At 38.6% G+C, this 17,594-nt stretch overlaps 1 protein-coding gene across 48 annotated transcripts in view; it reads left to right on the top strand.

The window, feature by feature from the left end:
• The window catches only part of SYNE1 (spectrin repeat containing nuclear envelope protein 1), a 515,676-nt gene that overhangs the window by 424,328 nt on the left and 73,754 nt on the right, over window positions 1-17,594 (top strand). For all 48 annotated transcript variants that reach the window (XM_047418508.1, XM_017010610.2, XM_017010609.2 and 45 more), the window contains 4 exons: window positions 1,447-1,541; window positions 4,829-5,063; window positions 6,673-6,867; window positions 11,086-11,211. In XM_047418508.1, coding sequence (XP_047274464.1) covers window positions 1,447-1,541; window positions 4,829-5,063; window positions 6,673-6,867; window positions 11,086-11,211 — 651 coding nt within the window. The remainder of the gene's footprint in view (window positions 1-1,446; window positions 1,542-4,828; window positions 5,064-6,672; window positions 6,868-11,085; window positions 11,212-17,594) is intronic.

Genomic DNA, 17,594 nt, shown 5'->3' with positions numbered 1-17,594 from the left:
CTATTTACCGGTATAACTAAGTCAGTTTGTGTATTTATGAATGATATGCACATGGAGAGATAGGTCTTACCTAAGAGAAAAGAAAAACTTAATTCAGAATTTTTTAAATAGAAAATTTAAAGATATCTAAGGTATTTTTAAATCCAGTTTTGTTGAATTGACAGATGATGAAATAATAGAAAAAAGACTACAATGAGATTGCATCTCACACCCACAAGGATGACTATAATGAAAAAATAACAAATTTTGGTGAGGGTGTAAAGGAATTGGAACCCTAATACATTGCTGATGGGAATGTAAAATGGTGAAGCTGCTTTGGAAAACAGTTAACATAGAGTTACCATATAGAGTTACGTAGAGTAATCATATAACCCAGAAATTCCACTCCTAGGTATATACTCAGGATAAATGAAAATATGTGTCCACACAAAAACTTGTGTAAGTACATTATTTATAGGAGCATTAGTCATAATAGCCAAAAGGTGGAGACAACCCAAATGTCCATCAACTGATAAATGGATAAATAAAATGTGAAATGTCTATATAATAGAATACTATTTGCAATAAAAAGGAATAAGGTACTGATATATGTTGCAACATGTATGAACCTTGGAAACATTATGCCAAGGGAAAGAAACCAGTCACAAAAGACTACATATCGCAAGATTCCATTTACAAGAAATGTCCAGAGTAAGTAATTCATAGAGACATAAAATAGATGAGTGGTTGCTGAAGGCTGGAGGATTGGGAAGAAATGGGGAATGATTGCTAATGAGGATGGACTTTCTTTTTGGGGCAATGAAAATTCTAAAATTGATTGTGGTAATGATTGTAAAGTCTGTAAATATAATAAACACCACTAAATTGAACATTTTAAATGAGTGAATTGTATGGTATGTGAATTGTTACTCAATAAAGTTGTTTAAAAAACAGTAGAAATAATTCGAAGGACCTTCTCTTGAGTTTTTTAAAATAGTGAAATAAATTTATTAAAATTTATTAATTTTAAAATTTAAAACTTAAAAACAGTGAGTTTTAAAAGACAGAAAAAGACTAGGCTATTTTTTTTCTTTGACTTCTTTAACGGTCCTAAGCTATTCTCTAAGTTTTGAATATGGACCATATTTTATATACAAAATAAACCAGAAAACAAATTGTGCATTAACTTACTTTATTAGGTGTTTTTGAAAGAAAGAAGAGAAATATAATTCTACTTTTGGTCATCTAGTTTTAGTAAACCAAACACTAAACTTTATCTTTGAGTGTATCTTAATTGATGATTTAAAAATAAATGATTCCTAAACTGCAGGATTTCACACATTTTCTGGTTCAGCTGGTGATAGCTTTCATAGTCTTGCGAAAACTAGAATATTTGGAAAGTTATCAGAGAACCGATCACTAAAATTAGGAACTCTAAAGTATGTTCTTCTTTTTTTTAAATTATAGTTGTTTCAAGCCGAGATGTTCAGTCGTCAGCAGATTTTGCACTCAATCATTATTGATGGGCAACGTCTTCTAGAACAAGGTCAAGTTGATGACAGGTAGGATCTTTGATAAATTATTACAAAGAAAGGTTCCAGTAAATTAGTCATTTTCTTTTTAATGAGCAGATTGGAGGGCATATATCCAATCTTCCTGAGGCAATTGAACTGTAGTGGGGCCTCAGTAATTGGAGGAGAAACTTGTCTCAATCTCTGAAATGAATGAGTATTGAATCTTTTTTGGAGAGCTGCTATTATATTATATGAAGGGCATAGAGTAATTGGAAATCACCTAGCCAACCTTCACTAGTCATCTGTAGGAAATGGAATTAATGAATAGATCAGCATGAACCATATCAATGACCTATCAACGGTTTGTAAACAGATGCTTCTAATATTCTTATATAATTACAGAAATTTTTTTGTAAAAGGAGCATAGAGATCACTAGCCCATCTCTCTTACTTACAGATGAAAAACCCAAAATCCACAAATGTGAACTGATTTGACCAGGGTCACAGAACTAAGTAGCAGCAGAATCAGGCCTGGAGCTCATGTCTGGTTTTCAGTCAGTACTGGATCATACCAGCCAGCTTTCTCATGCCATGAGAATTCTGTGTTTGAAAATGGTTTGCTACCTTAAGTCAGATTACATGCCGCCTGAAATCTTTTCTTCCTTTTCATTTACAATAGCAAATTATCTCTTTATTAAAAATGGAGAGGTAAAAATTTAGCTTCTCCCCAGATTTATGGTATGAGAAATGACAATTTCATACTATATTTACATTTCCTAGGAACAATATTTACTTTATCTAATCGACTTTCCGTGGTGATATTTGGAGTATTAGCCTCATGTGTTCTATTACATATGTATACCTTTCTCATATTTAGGAACCAGTAGTTGTGACTAAAATTAATTTGATATTTTTTCAAAAAATAAAAAATAAATTATTTTTATTGAGAGTTTTGTCTTTAATGTTGTAGAAGCAATTTCAGTTTTAAGTGGCTATTTCTTTGGAAGTACATAAAAGATCTTCATGGTTAAGCTTGGAACAACAGAATGTGATATTATATTTATTCTACTCTAAGTAAGCCAAACTTAAATGGGAGCTTTCCTGAGAATTTAAGGCCTTGAAAATAAAACAAATTCAAATACAATTAACTTTTATCTTTTGCTTTATCATTTCTTAGCCAACTCTATAACAATATTATAAATGTTTGAGTCATTAAGTAAAATAAAAATTAAATACTCACATGCAAGCCAGCATCTATTAACTTTTCAATACTAACATTTAGGGAAAATACACCAAAGAGATGAAAATGGGAGGTTAGACTTGAGGGTAAAGAATTTTGAAAGTTGAAGGGAAAAAAAAATCAGATTAGAGCCTACTGACAATAAGAAGGCCTCAGATTGCAAGTGTATTTTGTTCTGAAAGTTAATTTATGAGTTACGTTTTTTAGAGCTTCAAGTTCAGCACAGGGAACAGTGTCATGTTTTAAGTAATTCCTCATGCTGGCAGGTAGTTTGGGACAGCTTGGTTGTATCAAGAGAGGGTGGGGAATCCTAAGAGGCCTTGGATGGTTACCTGGTAGGGAAAGCAAGATTATACGATATTCTCAAGTCCTGGAGTTGTACATTTTCTGCGATGACAGATGCTTGTAACTTTTAGGGAAGTATCATGAACCTAATTCATCACACTTGAATGCTAGTACATTGATTAATACAGCAAAATTTCCTTTCAAAAACAGAAGTCATCATCAAAATCTAAGTAGCTATCACATGGATTTTTTTTTTTTTTCTTTTTTGAGACAGCGTCTTGCTCTTTCGCTCAGGCTAGAGTGAAGTGGCGCTATCTCGGCTCACTGCAACCTCCACCTTCTGGGTTCAAGTGATTCTCCTGTCTCAGCCTCCCAAGTAGCTGGGAATACAGGCACGCACCACCACGCCCGGCTAATTTTTGTATTTGTAATAGAGATGGGATTTCGCCATGTTGGCCAGGCTGGTCTCAAACTCCTGACCTCAGGTGATCCACCCACCTCGGCCTCCCAAGGTGCTGGGATTAAAGACGTGAGTCACCGGGCCCGGCCCATTATGGATCTATTTTTAAGATGAGAGGGCATACGAAATTTTTTGCAGAGGCTTTACTTAGTACATTTTATTTTTAATACTTGTTTTGTTGACGTTGTCTGGGTGTTATTCACCTTTTGTTTAAGTTGAGTCATTAAATAAGTTTCTAGGACTAACAGCATATTTGGTTACAAAATCAAAGTTTATAGTGGTTCTGGATAATAGGAAGTTTCAAGAAGATACAAGTTCACAATAGCAAGTCCAATTCAAAGTTGATGCTACCCTCAAGAGAAGAGGATAGTATATCTGAGGAAGAAAAGCAAAACTATTGTAATAGAGAAGTGCAAGTGTTTAGTATTAAAGTGCAACATTACTTGCACTTTAGGTGTGAATAACACTGTAATCTACATAGAAACTCATTCTGTTTCATGCGGGACAGACTCTTACTAGCCAGTTCTAGAGCCATAAATTAAATATTAAATAAAACGTAATAAAGAACTACCTATATTTTTTTAAAGCCAGAAAACAGAGAGGTAAGAACACATTAGAAGACCTGATATACTTTAGCCTGAACTTGAGAAATCTTAAGTAAAATTTATTATTTCTAAATATATTAATGACATTTATACAGACTATGATAACAAGTTTTCATCTTTCTAAGAATAAAGTGAAGTCAGCCTACAATGTAGAAGAGATAATTCAGATGAACATCTGGAATGATTTGCTAAAGGTTGGGGCTGTTTATTGTGAGGGAATACTGAGAGAGTTTATGGAGTACAGTTTTTAAAAAATCTTTTTAAATTACATAATTTGATTCAAGTGGCTTATGATTCGAACTGAAGACAGAGGTTCTACATAAGCCTTGTTCCACACATTTTCCTGCAGTGTGTCCCACAAGATGATATCATCATCACGAGCTGCACATGTTGCTATGGAGCTGCTTAGGATTTGCAGCTATTCCCGTTGCACCTGCAGCTGTCCACTCCTCCCCTCTCATGCTCTCAGGGAGACAGTGAAGGACAATGACCTTATTGTATATTTGCCTTCAACCTATGCTGAGACATGAAAACACTCACCATTTGCAAACACTGGTGGTTTAATTTTAAAAATTAATTGCAATAGACCCAAAACCCAGTAAGAGATCATGGCATGATATTCAAAAACCACCGCCCTAGATCACTTCTCAGGGCTTAGGGTTGTTGACAGTGTATACATTGGCTGATTGCGTAACTGCATCCAAGATAACAGTGCTTTTTTACCATGTAATTATTTCTTCACTAGGGATGAATTCAACCTGAAATTGACACTCCTCAGTAATCAATGGCAGGGAGTGATTCGCAGGGCCCAGCAGAGGCGGGGGATCATTGACAGCCAGATTCGCCAGTGGCAGCGCTATAGGGAGATGGCAGAAAAGCTTCGTAAATGGTTGGTTGAAGTGTCCTACCTCCCCATGAGTGGTCTCGGAAGTGTTCCTATACCACTGCAACAAGCAAGGACCCTCTTTGATGAAGTGCAGGTAAGATGCAAAACACAGTGTTCTCACACCTCTTAGGCATTTCCACCGCACACTTTACCTTCGCCTCGGTTTTTCAAAAGGACTCTAGAGTGACATTGCAGCTGGGACAAACATTGTTCTCAAATGTCAACAGAAATATACAAAATGATTGCAATACAAAGCCCATATCTAATGGTGAAATGATAGTAAGCCCCAGCCTCTCACAAAGGCTGCTTACACTTCACACACTATGGCCTGCCGCAGCTCACTAAATCCCAGCAGGGATGAAAAGGTAATGGCAAGGGAAGAAAAACTTCATGTTGCTTGCATACATTTTATTCTTGAGCAATTTAAACACGTAACTTGAGTATTCCAAAGAAGACAGGAAGCCCTGTCCTGTTTGAGTTCTTTGTTCATTTCCAGGTTGCCCCTTACCTTCAGGCTTCTAGCATCTTAGAGAGATATCTCCTATCACTCTAGTGAGTTCTCCCCAGTGTATCCAATGAGTTCCTCTTCCCTTAAAGTCACTGTTCTTTCGTTCGTTTCTCCTCCAAATTTCTCTGAGAGCCCTCATTCGCAGACATGACTTCAACTGCCCCCTGCCAGCAGAGAAGGGGCATATTCATATCTTCTGGTCATATTTACCTGCTGTGCTTTTGACTTGTGTTTCTAACCACCTTGTGAGTTTATGTCTATGTGCATCACAGATGCCTTGTACCCTGTGGGTCCCAGCAGAACCTGTGGTCTCTGGACCAACTTTTCTCCCTTTCCCATCACACTTCCAGGAAGTGCCATTAGTCTAGGAATCCTAGAATAATTTGAGAGCTATACTTCTCCTTGTCTATCATCCCCTTATCTAATCTCCCTAACTCTACATCCCTGCTGCCACTGCCTTGGTTAGGTGCTCGCGATTTCTTGCCCAGATAGACAATAGCTTCCTAATCTTAGTATATCCAACACACATCCTTCTTCCATTCTACTTTTACTCGATTCCTGAGTGCTTTTATGAAAACTTTAATCCCAACATCAATATTCTTCTGTGAACCCCAGTCACTTTTAGTATAAAAACCAAATTTCTGCAAGATGTCGTCTGGCCTCATCTCCTACCACTCTCTCACATGCCATCCACACTCCAGCCACTGAAAACCATACTTAGTTTCCTGAATTTATCATATTTTTCTCATATAGTGAATGTGCGCATCCTCATTTCTCTGTGAGAAGGTGGCCTCTCCTCCACTCCTGATCACACTCATCTCACCGCACCAGGTCCTTCTTAATCTGGTGAAGTTCATGTCTCGCAAGACACATTCAGCCTTTACTGCTTTGAGGAAGCCTCTCTGCCTCTTGGTGCGCCCCCTGCTGGGTCAGATGTCCCTCTGTATTTCCACGCATCAATCTTAAAGAGTGGTTATCTTATTACATCAATCGTACTTACCTTGGAGACAGAAACTAAGCCTGTCTCCATTGTATTCTCACTCATTTATTCACTGGTGCATGCATGTGCAAAGCACCACTACGGTAAATGCTTGCTGGATGAAAGAGGGCAAAAGTTAGGGCCATTTAAAAATCCTTATGGGAAGGAAACGATGAAAGAAAGAATGAGAAAATAAAAAGCTATGGTTCCTTTCAGTTCAAAGAAAAAGTGTTTCTGCGGCAACAAGGCAGCTACATCCTGACTGTGGAGGCTGGCAAGCAACTCCTTCTCTCGGCGGACAGTGGCGCTGAGGCCGCCTTGCAGGCCGAACTCGCTGAAATCCAAGAGAAATGGAAATCAGCCAGCATGCGGCTGGAAGAACAGAAGAAAAAACTAGCCTTCTTGTTGAAAGTAAGTTCAGTTAGAAAAAAACGAACCAAAAAACCCTTTTAGTCGTTGTACTACTTCCTCCCATTGTTATTCTACAAATCAAATAATGCAAAGATCATGAAATAATACCCTGCAGTATTTTGATTCTCTGTGTTTTATTTAAGACTTTGTCTTATCTTGCACAAACTGGAAAAGTTTCCCAATTTTCAGCATTTAATTTTTCAGGACAACCTCCCAACAAAGTAAAGTCTAATAAGACTGTCTAAGCTATGAATTCTGATTAATGACCAGTATGAAACCTTAGCCATGTGATGACTTTATAAATCCACACAGAAATTCAAAGGGTAGGTTCCACTCCCTAATCTGAGACTCTAAAGTGGTTTTCAAGATTGGTATCTCTTCTTTTATGGAAGGGAAAAACCAATCCAGAAAGATACTCTTAATTTATCTTAGCTGATCCAAGCAAGTTGCCATGAGATAAAATCTCCAGGAGGTGTATTAAGCCCTTAGTTGGATACAGATCACATACTGATCACACAGTAAGTTTTGGAAAATGTAGATTTATCCGGACCTCCCACAATATGCTTTTCTCTCTCACTCTTCAATTGCATGTATAATGCATAATTAAATGAGCAGTTTAAAAAGGACAGGACCTCTAAAATAAGATAATCTCAAGTTAAAATCATGGTAAACCAAGTGACCCAGTTAACTTAGCCTATCTAAGCCTCAGTTTCCTCATCGGTAGAGTGGGTATATAATTTCACCACCTCCATGTGGCCATTGTGAGGACTTAATGAAATAATGATAGTGAATCATGTGGTACCTTACCTGGCTCATACTGAGCGCTAAATGAATGATAGTGATTATCATAGTTGATGTTATTACAATCTTTAAAAGTAAAGACACCTAAATGTTATGGTCCTGTATATGTTGATAATCACCAACACTTCAGTGAGGGTATCTATTAAATTTGGCCTGTCACATGTTTGGATCAAAGGTAATGACTAAGGTTAATAGAAAAGATTTTGCTTTTTTTTTTTAATGCTTAAAGTGTGCATACATACCCATTGGATTTATTCTATTGAATTTTATTTAATAATATATTGCCTTCTGTGTAGTAAGCAATCCATCAAAAATGCCACTGGACATCTATAAAAAACTATTATTTGCACACAGCACAGTTTCATCAGTAATGTAATATGCCAGGTTCATTTTCTTCCTTTTGCTTTTAGGAAAGGATTTAAAACATTGTAACTCATCCTGTAGAGAACATGTTAATCATATATTTTTTTAAATTTGTGATGTGATTTTTGGAGATGTTTCCAAGACTTAATAAGGCATGATGTCTGAGTCACTACATTTGCTTTTCTTGTCTGTCTGTTTGTTGGTGTAGAAAACATCCACTTTAATAGATATTTGCAGGCTCATGACATTAAGTTATTTCCTTATAATTCACGTCATAAAAGGACTTGGTTATAGATTTAGAATCTAAGTCATCCTTGGAAAGAGGAATCCCTCTTCTGTTCTTGTTAAAGTTTATTTTATTTTGACTTTTACACTACATCCGTTTGCCTAAGAAGGAATTTATGAATCTGAATTTTGATGTTTATATAGCCTCATTTTAGTCTATTTTTTACCCCAGCTATAATACTTATCTATATTTAGCTTTTAATACTGTTAGTAAGTATGCCAAATATAGGCATTATAATTCCATGCTCTGTATGTTCACCTTCTTCACTATCATCTCTTAATTTTGTTCTGAAAAGTAAGAAGCTGATCTTTTTTATCTTTCTTTCTTGTTTTTTTTTCTTTTTTTTTTTTTTGACATAGAGTCTCCCTGTGTCACCCAGGCTGGAGTGCTGTGGTGCAGTCTTGGCTAATTGCAACCTCCACTCTTCTGGGTTCAAGTGATTCTCGTGCATCAGCCTCTCAAGTAGGTGGGATTACAGGTGCACGCCACCACGCCTGGCTAATTTTTGTATTTTTAGTAGAGATGGGTTTTCACCATGTTGGCCAGGCTGGTCTCGAACTCCTGGCTTCAAGTGATCTGCCCTTCCTTGGCCTCCCAAAGTGCTAGGATTATAGGTGTGGGTCACAGCACCCGTGATGATCTTATCTCTTTTAGATCAATAAATTTTTATCAACTGTATGTTGATCAATTCAGGATGTTTGATAGTTTTATTGAGAATGTTGTTTAATTTAAGCAGAAAGAGAAACTTTTTGTCTACCCTCACTATGGTTAGCATTGATAAGCTAATTGTAGCCCTGGGAACACAAAGCATAAAACAAAGGAGAATTTGAACAACTCTGTCCCTGATAGACAATTTTTTTTTGTTTTTTAAGAATTTTTTTTTCTGGTAATTGGGAAGAGGGAATGTGGTTATGCACTCTAAGAAGTTCTATGAAGGAATTTTAAAGAGAAATGAGACTTGTGCCAAATTCTCAGTTCAGTTTTTGAATAAAGACATTTTGAGTAAGGGGGCACTTTAGTCAACACTGCTTCCAGAAAATAGTTGTGGTAATAACACCTCTGGGTTGTTATGCTCAAACTAAGGTGTCAGGAGAGAAGTAGAAATAATCCAGATAAGAAAAGACTGATGATAATGGAAGAGATATTGTGAAGGAAGATGGAACATGATTTGACACCATATTGACAACTAAAAGTGATTCTAGTCATGATTCTAGTTGTCTTGCTTTGGAATTCTGTAATTCACGGTGTATGGAGTGGCCACTGGGGAGATGAGTGGGGAGCAGGAAGGCCTGGATTGGAGAGTTTGACAAACGGGCAGTGTTGGACAACATGAAGGAGACTTGTTTAGTTGAAATTAATTTTCACTGGCACTAAGACACCGGATAGGAGTTAATGTGTAGATAAGGTGCTATAAAAAAGATCAAGCTCTGCTGTGGTTCCTGTCATTTTTTAAAATTCTACTTTTTTATTACAAAAAAATTACGTGTGTCTGATTTTTAAAAATTAGGTAATAATTTAACTATACAGAGTAAAAAATGAAATTTCCCTTATTGTGCCATCCAAATTCTCCTATATTCTCAAGAGGTAACCATTGTTACCAGTTTGCTGTGTAACCTTTCAAAACATAACCACACAATAGATGTTTTATTTTGTCAGTACATAGAGCTCTACCTCATTCTATACTGCCTATCTCTACCACCTGCCCTGGCCTATTCCTCTCCAGAGCACTTACTGCTACTTTGCATATTAGATATAGATTTCTTAAATTGTGCATTATCTCTCTTCTTCTACATCTTAATTTACATGGGTTTTTATATATTACACATTTAATCCTTTGCTACATATGTTTCAGCATGAACAAGATAAAGCCAGTCAAAAATGCCATGCTTTTGTAGTGCATATTTCTCTTTCTGTAAGACATGCCATATCCTCTTTTTTTTTTAAATCCCTTATAGTACATTTGGGAAAGGGTAGACATTGGGTGTAGTTATGGATGGGGTTAAGAAAGAGACAAGGTACTGAGATTATAGTCCTACCTCTGCAGATAGATGTGGATTCAGATAACATTCTTGGATACCCATAATATTCTGGTCATTGTGCTTGATGCCTTGACACTCATTGCTTCCTTTGGGCTCCAATAAATATGGAGAGTTTGTATTTTTTCCATTTTCGTAGGGAAAATGGAAACATAGAGCATTATCTGCTTAAAGCCACACAGATAGTCAGTAACAGAGTCAGTTTTGAACTCAGCTCTTCTGATGACAACAGCATGTTGCCTCCCCTGGCAATGAGTGTGGGCATACCTTCATATTGTTCATCAGCGCAACTTTGTTCTTTTTTTTTTTTGCTTTTTTTTTTTTTTTTTTTTTTTGAGACAGAGTCTCGCTCTTTTGCCTAGACTGGAGTGCAGTGGTGTGATCTCAGCTCACTGCAACTTCTGCCTCCTGGGTTCAAGCAATTCTCCTGCCTCAGCCTTCTGAGTAGCTGGGATTATAGGAGCCTGCCACCATGCCTGGCTAATTTTTGTGTTTTTAGTAGAGACAAGGTTTCACCATGTTGGCCAGACTGGTTACAAACTCCTGACCTCGAGTGATCCACCCGCCTCGGCCTCCCAAAGTGCTGGGATTACACGCGTGAGCCACCACACTCAGCCATCAGTGTAACTTTCATTCTTTCTCTGGGAATGAAGAAGAGTGTTTCTTTTCTTTTCCCCCCCCAGTTTCCTACATCAAAAACATCTATGCTATTTGTTTTTATTCCCATGATAGGACTGGGAAAAATGTGAGAAAGGAATAGCAGATTCCCTGGAGAAACTACGAACTTTCAAAAAGAAGCTTTCGCAGTCTCTCCCGGATCACCATGAAGAGCTCCATGCAGAACAAATGCGTTGCAAGGTAAATTACTGAACTGAGATTTTCACCGTCACCTGTGTGCCTCTGCTGGAATGTCTTTGGGGCCATAATCCAGTCAAACTCTTAGGTTATCTACATGCAGATACAAGATCCTAGTATATGACATAAGGACAGGCAACTCAGGTGAAACTTGTATGGCTGATTTATTGCAGTTGATGAAATTATAGACTAGTTTATGGATTACTCCAAGGAAGCAAATGAAAATTTAAAACACATTAAAAGATATTTAAAAGCTGAGTCAAGAGCAATAAAGTCATTTTTTTTGAAGCATCCACACTGGGGAGTCATTCTACCAGAAGAATCGAGTCTACAAGAAGGAAAAAAAAAAAAAAGGATCAACAGCCTGGAAAATCTGCAGACAGTGGCCCTCCAAAGAACACACCCTGCCCTCTAGACCATTATGCAAGGAAAGGGGGAAAAATAGCTTATCTCAGTGACTGCATAGAGACACACAATCCCTAAATTGCTCAGGGCTCTAAGTACTTAAAGATTATGATCAACACTTCAAATGGTACTTGGAAGCAAGTCAGTAGCTAATACAGATCACTCCCTGGATTATGAGCTCACCGAGACCAACACAATTCAGTGGCTATAAGATTCATGCCTTTCACATCTTTGTAGCCAAGTGAAATGTCCAAACAGCAGTTCTTTGCTGAGCAATAGGCTGATCATATCAAACGTACCTTTAAAAATGTTTTTCTTTCAAATTAAACATGCCCTTGTGTTCCCCAGTCATTTGCAAATTATTGCTCTAGGGTAATTCTGTTAAAAATTCGCATATACTTAAATGACTTGGGTTTTAATTAGAAATTCTCTGCCTCACTTTGGCAAAGAAATCCTAAGCATTTAAGAGATGATAATTGTTAAAGAGGTCTAGAAATCATGAAAAGTGTGGCTATAAGAATTTTTTCTTCAGTTGTAAAATCTAAGGATATTATTTGAAACTTGAAAAAGGCAGATTTAGGAAAGTTAAAAGGTAGTATATTTTACATCATGGATGGAAAGTGAAAGAAGTACTATCTTGAGCTGTTACATTCAGAAGTATGCAATGGTTACAAAGATTAAAAAGCGCATTTTGAACCTGTGATGATAAATTTATTAAAAATAAAGAAGCCGGGTGTGGTGGATCATGCCTGTAATCCCAGCACTTTGGAGGCCAAGGCAAACAGATCATTTGAGACCAGATGTTCAAGATCAGCCTGGGCAATATGGCAAGACTCCATATCTAAAGAAATTTAAAAATTAACCAGAGTGGTGGTGCTTGCCTGTAGTCCTAGCTACTGGGGAGGCTGAGGCAGGAGGATCACTTAGGAATCTGAGGCTGCAGTGAGCTATGATCACACCACTGCATCCAGCCTGGCTGACAGAGTGAGACCCTGTCTGTAAAAAAATAAATACATTAAAAATTATTAAAGAAAACTTCTGCAAAGCAGGAATGGGCATTTATTAGGGGCTGTGACTATATTGGTGTTATCTCAGTTGGCATTAACAAAAGCTCGTGAAAACATTTATTATTGCCCCTTTTCAGAAGGGAAAACTGAGGCCTCTGGAAATTTAATAACTTTTCAAAGTCAGTAAATATCTGGGTTGCCTGTATCTACAGGCTATATTTTTGCCACACTGACTCGTTTAAGGGGTTGGTATACTGTGCGTCTGAAACAGTTGGTTTTTGGTGGTGGTGTTATTATGTACTTTTGTTAAATCCATATACAAATCTGATGCTCGAGTTGGGGGGGTAGAAATCGGTGTGAAAAGTGGAAAATCTTTCCAGTGGTATAACAATTGAATATGTTTAGAAGTATTAGAAGAAATGTTGCATATTTAATTAACCTAGATGGTTTGGTCTTTCAGCCAAATACTGTTGCCATGGGGCGTCATTTTTTATCTCCCAAAAAACATGACAGTTACAAACACACGCTGCTATTGAGTGTGTAGATTTAAAAAATGTATTTTCGTCTAGTCCTGCTACTCTTCCCCAAACTGCCCTTAGCAGCAAAACAAGGCAATTACCTGGAAAATTCAGGCTAAAATCTTGTTTGCCTAAATTGCTTGGGAAGTTAGCCTCAGACAGCACCGCTAATTGCCATTGCCTTTGGAAACCTTTCTACCGTGTAAAGACACATAAAGGGAGGGGAAACGGCACATGAAATACTCTATTTATACACAAAACTAGCTGGAATCTAAAAACAACAGCTGGTTATACAAATTGCAAAACTGGTAATTGGTCAAAATATTGTAAAAACTAATGTCAACTCATTCAAATATTGCTATATGAATTTTTTTTTCTTAAATCATTCCCCTAAAAGACAGGGTACATAATCTTTTTTAGTAACTTAAAGAAATGTCTGATCCTGCAGAAAATGTATTCAGTGCATTGTTTTAAATTGAGTAGTAACAGCAACAGATCTTCTCAGCTATTACATTATAAGTATAGATCACAGAATGTAGCAACTCTATAGTGCTTGAAAATGAAAGTTAAATTTAGGTGTCTGTTTTTAAAAATATTTCATCAGTGTGATCAGCAATTCAGGACAAAAAGAAAGGATAAGTTAGAGGTTTATGAAGTCAGTCTAAAGTAAAGAAGATCAATACAGTGATTAAACTTCAATTTAGGAAAAAAAAATTTTAAATCAATAAAATGATGAGTAGATGGCAGAAAGATTCTGCAGGCAATCATACTTTATCAGAAGGACTTAGCAATTTATCAAATTATGTGGAAGCAAATGAAATATGGGCAAACCTCATTTTATTGCACTTGTTTTAGTGTGTTTCACAGATCCTATGTTTTGTTTTTTGTTTTTTGGTTTTTTTTTTTTTTTTTACAAATTGAAGATTGTGGCATTGCTGCATAGAACAAGTCTACCAGCACCATTTTTCCAACAGCATGTGCTCACTTTATATGTCTGCATAATTTTGGTAATTCTCACAATATTCCAAACTTTTTCTTTACTGTTATATTTGTTACAGTGATCTACAGTCAGTGTGACCTTTGATGGTGCTATTGTAATTAGTGGCACCACACACTGTGCCCATAGAAGTCAGCAATCTTAATTCATAAATGTAGCATGTGTTCTGATTGCTCCACCAACAATGTTCCCAATCTCTCTCCTTCTCCTCTGGCCTCCTTATTTGCTGAGACACAACAATATTGAAATTAGGCCAATTCATACAGTGGCCTCTGAGTGTTCAATTGAAAAAAATCTCATGTCTCTCACTTTAAATCAAAAGCTAGAAATGATTAAGCTTAGTGAGGAAGACATGTCAAAAGCTGGAACAGGCCAAAAGCTAGGCCTCTTGTGCCACAAACAGCCAGGTTGTGAATGCAAAGGAAAAGTTCTGAAAGGAAATTAAAAGTAATACTCCAGTGAATGCATGGATGAGAAGAAAGCAAAACATCCTTATTGCTGATACAGAGAAACTTTGAGTGGTCTGAATAAAAGATCCAACCAGCCACAACATTCCTTTAAGCCAAAGCCTAATCTGGAGCAAGGTCGTAACTCCCTTTAATTCTGTGAAGGCTGAGGGAGGAGAAGTAACTGCAGAAGAAAAGATGGAAGCAGGCAGAGGTTGGTTCATGAGTTTTAAGGAAACAAACCATCTCCATAACATAAAAGTGCAAGGTGAAGCAGCAAGTGTTGAAGTAGAAGCTGCAGTAAGTTATGCAGAAGATCTAGCTAAGATCATTGATGGAAGTGGTTACCCTCCCTCCCTCCCTTCCTTCCTCTTTCCTTCCTTCCCTCTTTCTTTCCGTCTTTCCTTTTAACCTTCCTTCCTTCTCCCCTCCCCTCCCCTCCTCTCCCCTTCCTGACAGAGTTTTGCTCTTGTTGCCCAGGCTAGAGGTAGATCAAACAGCCCTATGTTGGAAGAAGATGCCATTGAGAAATTTAATAGCTTAAAAGAAGTCAATGCCTGGCTCGAAAGCTTCAGAGAAAAGGCTAACTCTCTTGTTAGGGGCAAATGGAGCTGGTGACTTAAAGTCAGTGTTCATTTAACATTCTGGAAATCCTAAGGCCTTTAAGAATTATGCTAACTCTACCTGTGCTCTATAAATAGAACAACAAAACCCAGATGGCACCATATCTGTTTACAGTACAGTTTTACTGATATTTTAAGCCCACTTTTGAGACCCACTGCTCAGAAAAAAAAGGCTTTCTTTCAAAGTATTACCACTTCTTGATAATGCACGTAGTCACCCTAGATATCTGATGGAGATGGAGATGTACAAGACTAATGTTGTCTTCATGCCTTCTAGCACAATATCTATCCTGTAGCCCATGGATCAAGGAATAATTTCAACTTCCAAGTCTTATTATTTAAGAAATACACTTTGTGAGGCTATAGCTGCCATAGATAGTGATTCCTATGATGGATCTGGGCAAAGTAAATGGAAAACCCTGTGGAAAGGATTCGTCATTGCAGATGGCAGTAAGAACATTCCCGATTTGACCTGAGGAAGCAGAACAAGATGGCTGAGTAGAATTCTCCACTGACTGTTCTCCCTGCAGGAACACCAAATGTAACAACTATCTACATAAGAAAGCGCCTTCATAAGAATAAAAAATCAGGTGAGCAATCACATTACCTGATTTCAACTTCATAGTACAGAAAGAGGCAATGAAGAGGGTAGGAAAGACAACCTTGGATTGCCCACACCACCTCTTCTTTTCGGTGCCCCAGCAGCAGCCACATGGCACGGAGAGAGCATCTGTGCATATCGAGGAAGGAGAGCCCAGCAGTTGGTCTGCATTGCATTGGAGCTCAGTGCTGCCAATACCAGGCAGAACTCAGCTGATGCCCACGGAGGGAGCATTTACACAAGACCTAGCCAAAGGGGAAGCTCCCATCCCAGCCAACAGAATCTGAGTTTTGACAAGCACTTGCTACCATGGGCTAAAATGCTCTGGGGTCCTACATAAATTTGAAAGGCTGTCTAGGCCACAAGTACTACACTCCTAGGTGGGTCCTAGTGCAGTACTGGGCTTGGAGCCAGTGGACTTGGGGGTACATGACCCGGTGACACACCAGGAAGACAGCTAAAGGAGTTGTTGTGCCAATCCTCCCCCAACCCCAGGCAATACAGCTTGCAGCTCCAAAAGACACCCCTTCCTTCTGCTTGAGAAAAGAGGAAAGAGTAAAGAGGACTTTGTTTTGCAACTTGGATACCAACTCAATTACAGTAAGATAGGGTACTGGGCACAGTCATGAAGCCTTCATTCCATGCCCTAGTTTCCAGACATTTCTAGACACACCCTTGGCCAGAAGAGAACCTGCTGCATTGAAGGGAAGGACCTAGTCCTGGTAAGACCTATCACCGGCTGACTAAAGAGCCCATAGGCCCTGGATAGTCAGCAGTGTAACCAGGTATTACACACTGTGGGCCTTGGGTCAGATTCGGAGACATGCTGGCTTCAAGTGTGACCTAGCACATTCACAGCTGCGGTGGCTATGAAGAGAGTCCTCTTCTGCTTACAAAAAAGAGAGGCAAGAACAAAGGGGACTTTGTCTTGTAACTTAGGTACCAGCATAGCAACAACAGGAAAGAGCACCAAAGAGGCTCCAGGGGTACTCAATTCCAGGACTTGGCTCTCGGGTGGCATTTCTGGATCTACCTTGGGCCAGAGGGGAGCCCACTCCCCTGAAGGGTAAGTTCCAGGCCTGGCAGCATTTACCACAAGCTGAGTTGAAGAGCCCTTGGGCCTAATGTAAACATCAGCAATGGCCTGGCAGTATTCCCCACGGTTCTGTTGTGGCAGTGGACCTGGGGAGCGACTCCTCAGCCTGGGACAGGGAAGGGAAGAGTGGAAAGGACTTTTTCTTATGGTTTCGGTACCAGCTTATCTGCAGTAGAACAGAGCACCAGGTAGATTTCTAAGGTTTCCAACTCCAAGCCCTGGCATCTCTCGACCACCTGGGGCCAGGGGGAGCTCATTGCCCTGAAGAGAAGAACACAAGCCTGTATGGCCTAGGGCCTTGACCAAACATAGAGAGTAGCCAAGTAGTGGTTACAGTGGGCCTTGGGAGAGAGCCAGTGCTGTGCTGGCTTCAGGCCTAACCCAGTACAGTTCCAGTAGTGGTGGGGGATCCACAGGGGTACTTGTAACTCTCCTCTCCACCAGTACCAGGGAACTCAGCACAGAGAAAGAGACGCTGTTTGTTTGGGAGAAAATAAGGAAAGAGAACAAGAATCTCTGCCTGGTAATCCAGATAATTCTTCCAGATCTTATCCAAGACCACCAAGGTGGTTCCTCTATCAGTCTGCAAGAACCACAGTTTTAGTGGGCTTGGGGTGCCCCATGATGCAGATTTGACTGCAGTGACTAAAAACTTAGGTCACAACTCCCAGGTCCCTTCAAATACCTGGAAAA

The sequence above is a fragment of the Homo sapiens genome, chromosome 6 (assembly GCF_000001405.40).
Source record: "Homo sapiens chromosome 6, GRCh38.p14 Primary Assembly".
NCBI lineage: Eukaryota > Metazoa > Chordata > Mammalia > Primates > Hominidae > Homo > Homo sapiens.
Note: the sequence above shows the minus strand (reverse complement) of the source record. Positions and strands in the feature narration are given on the sequence as shown.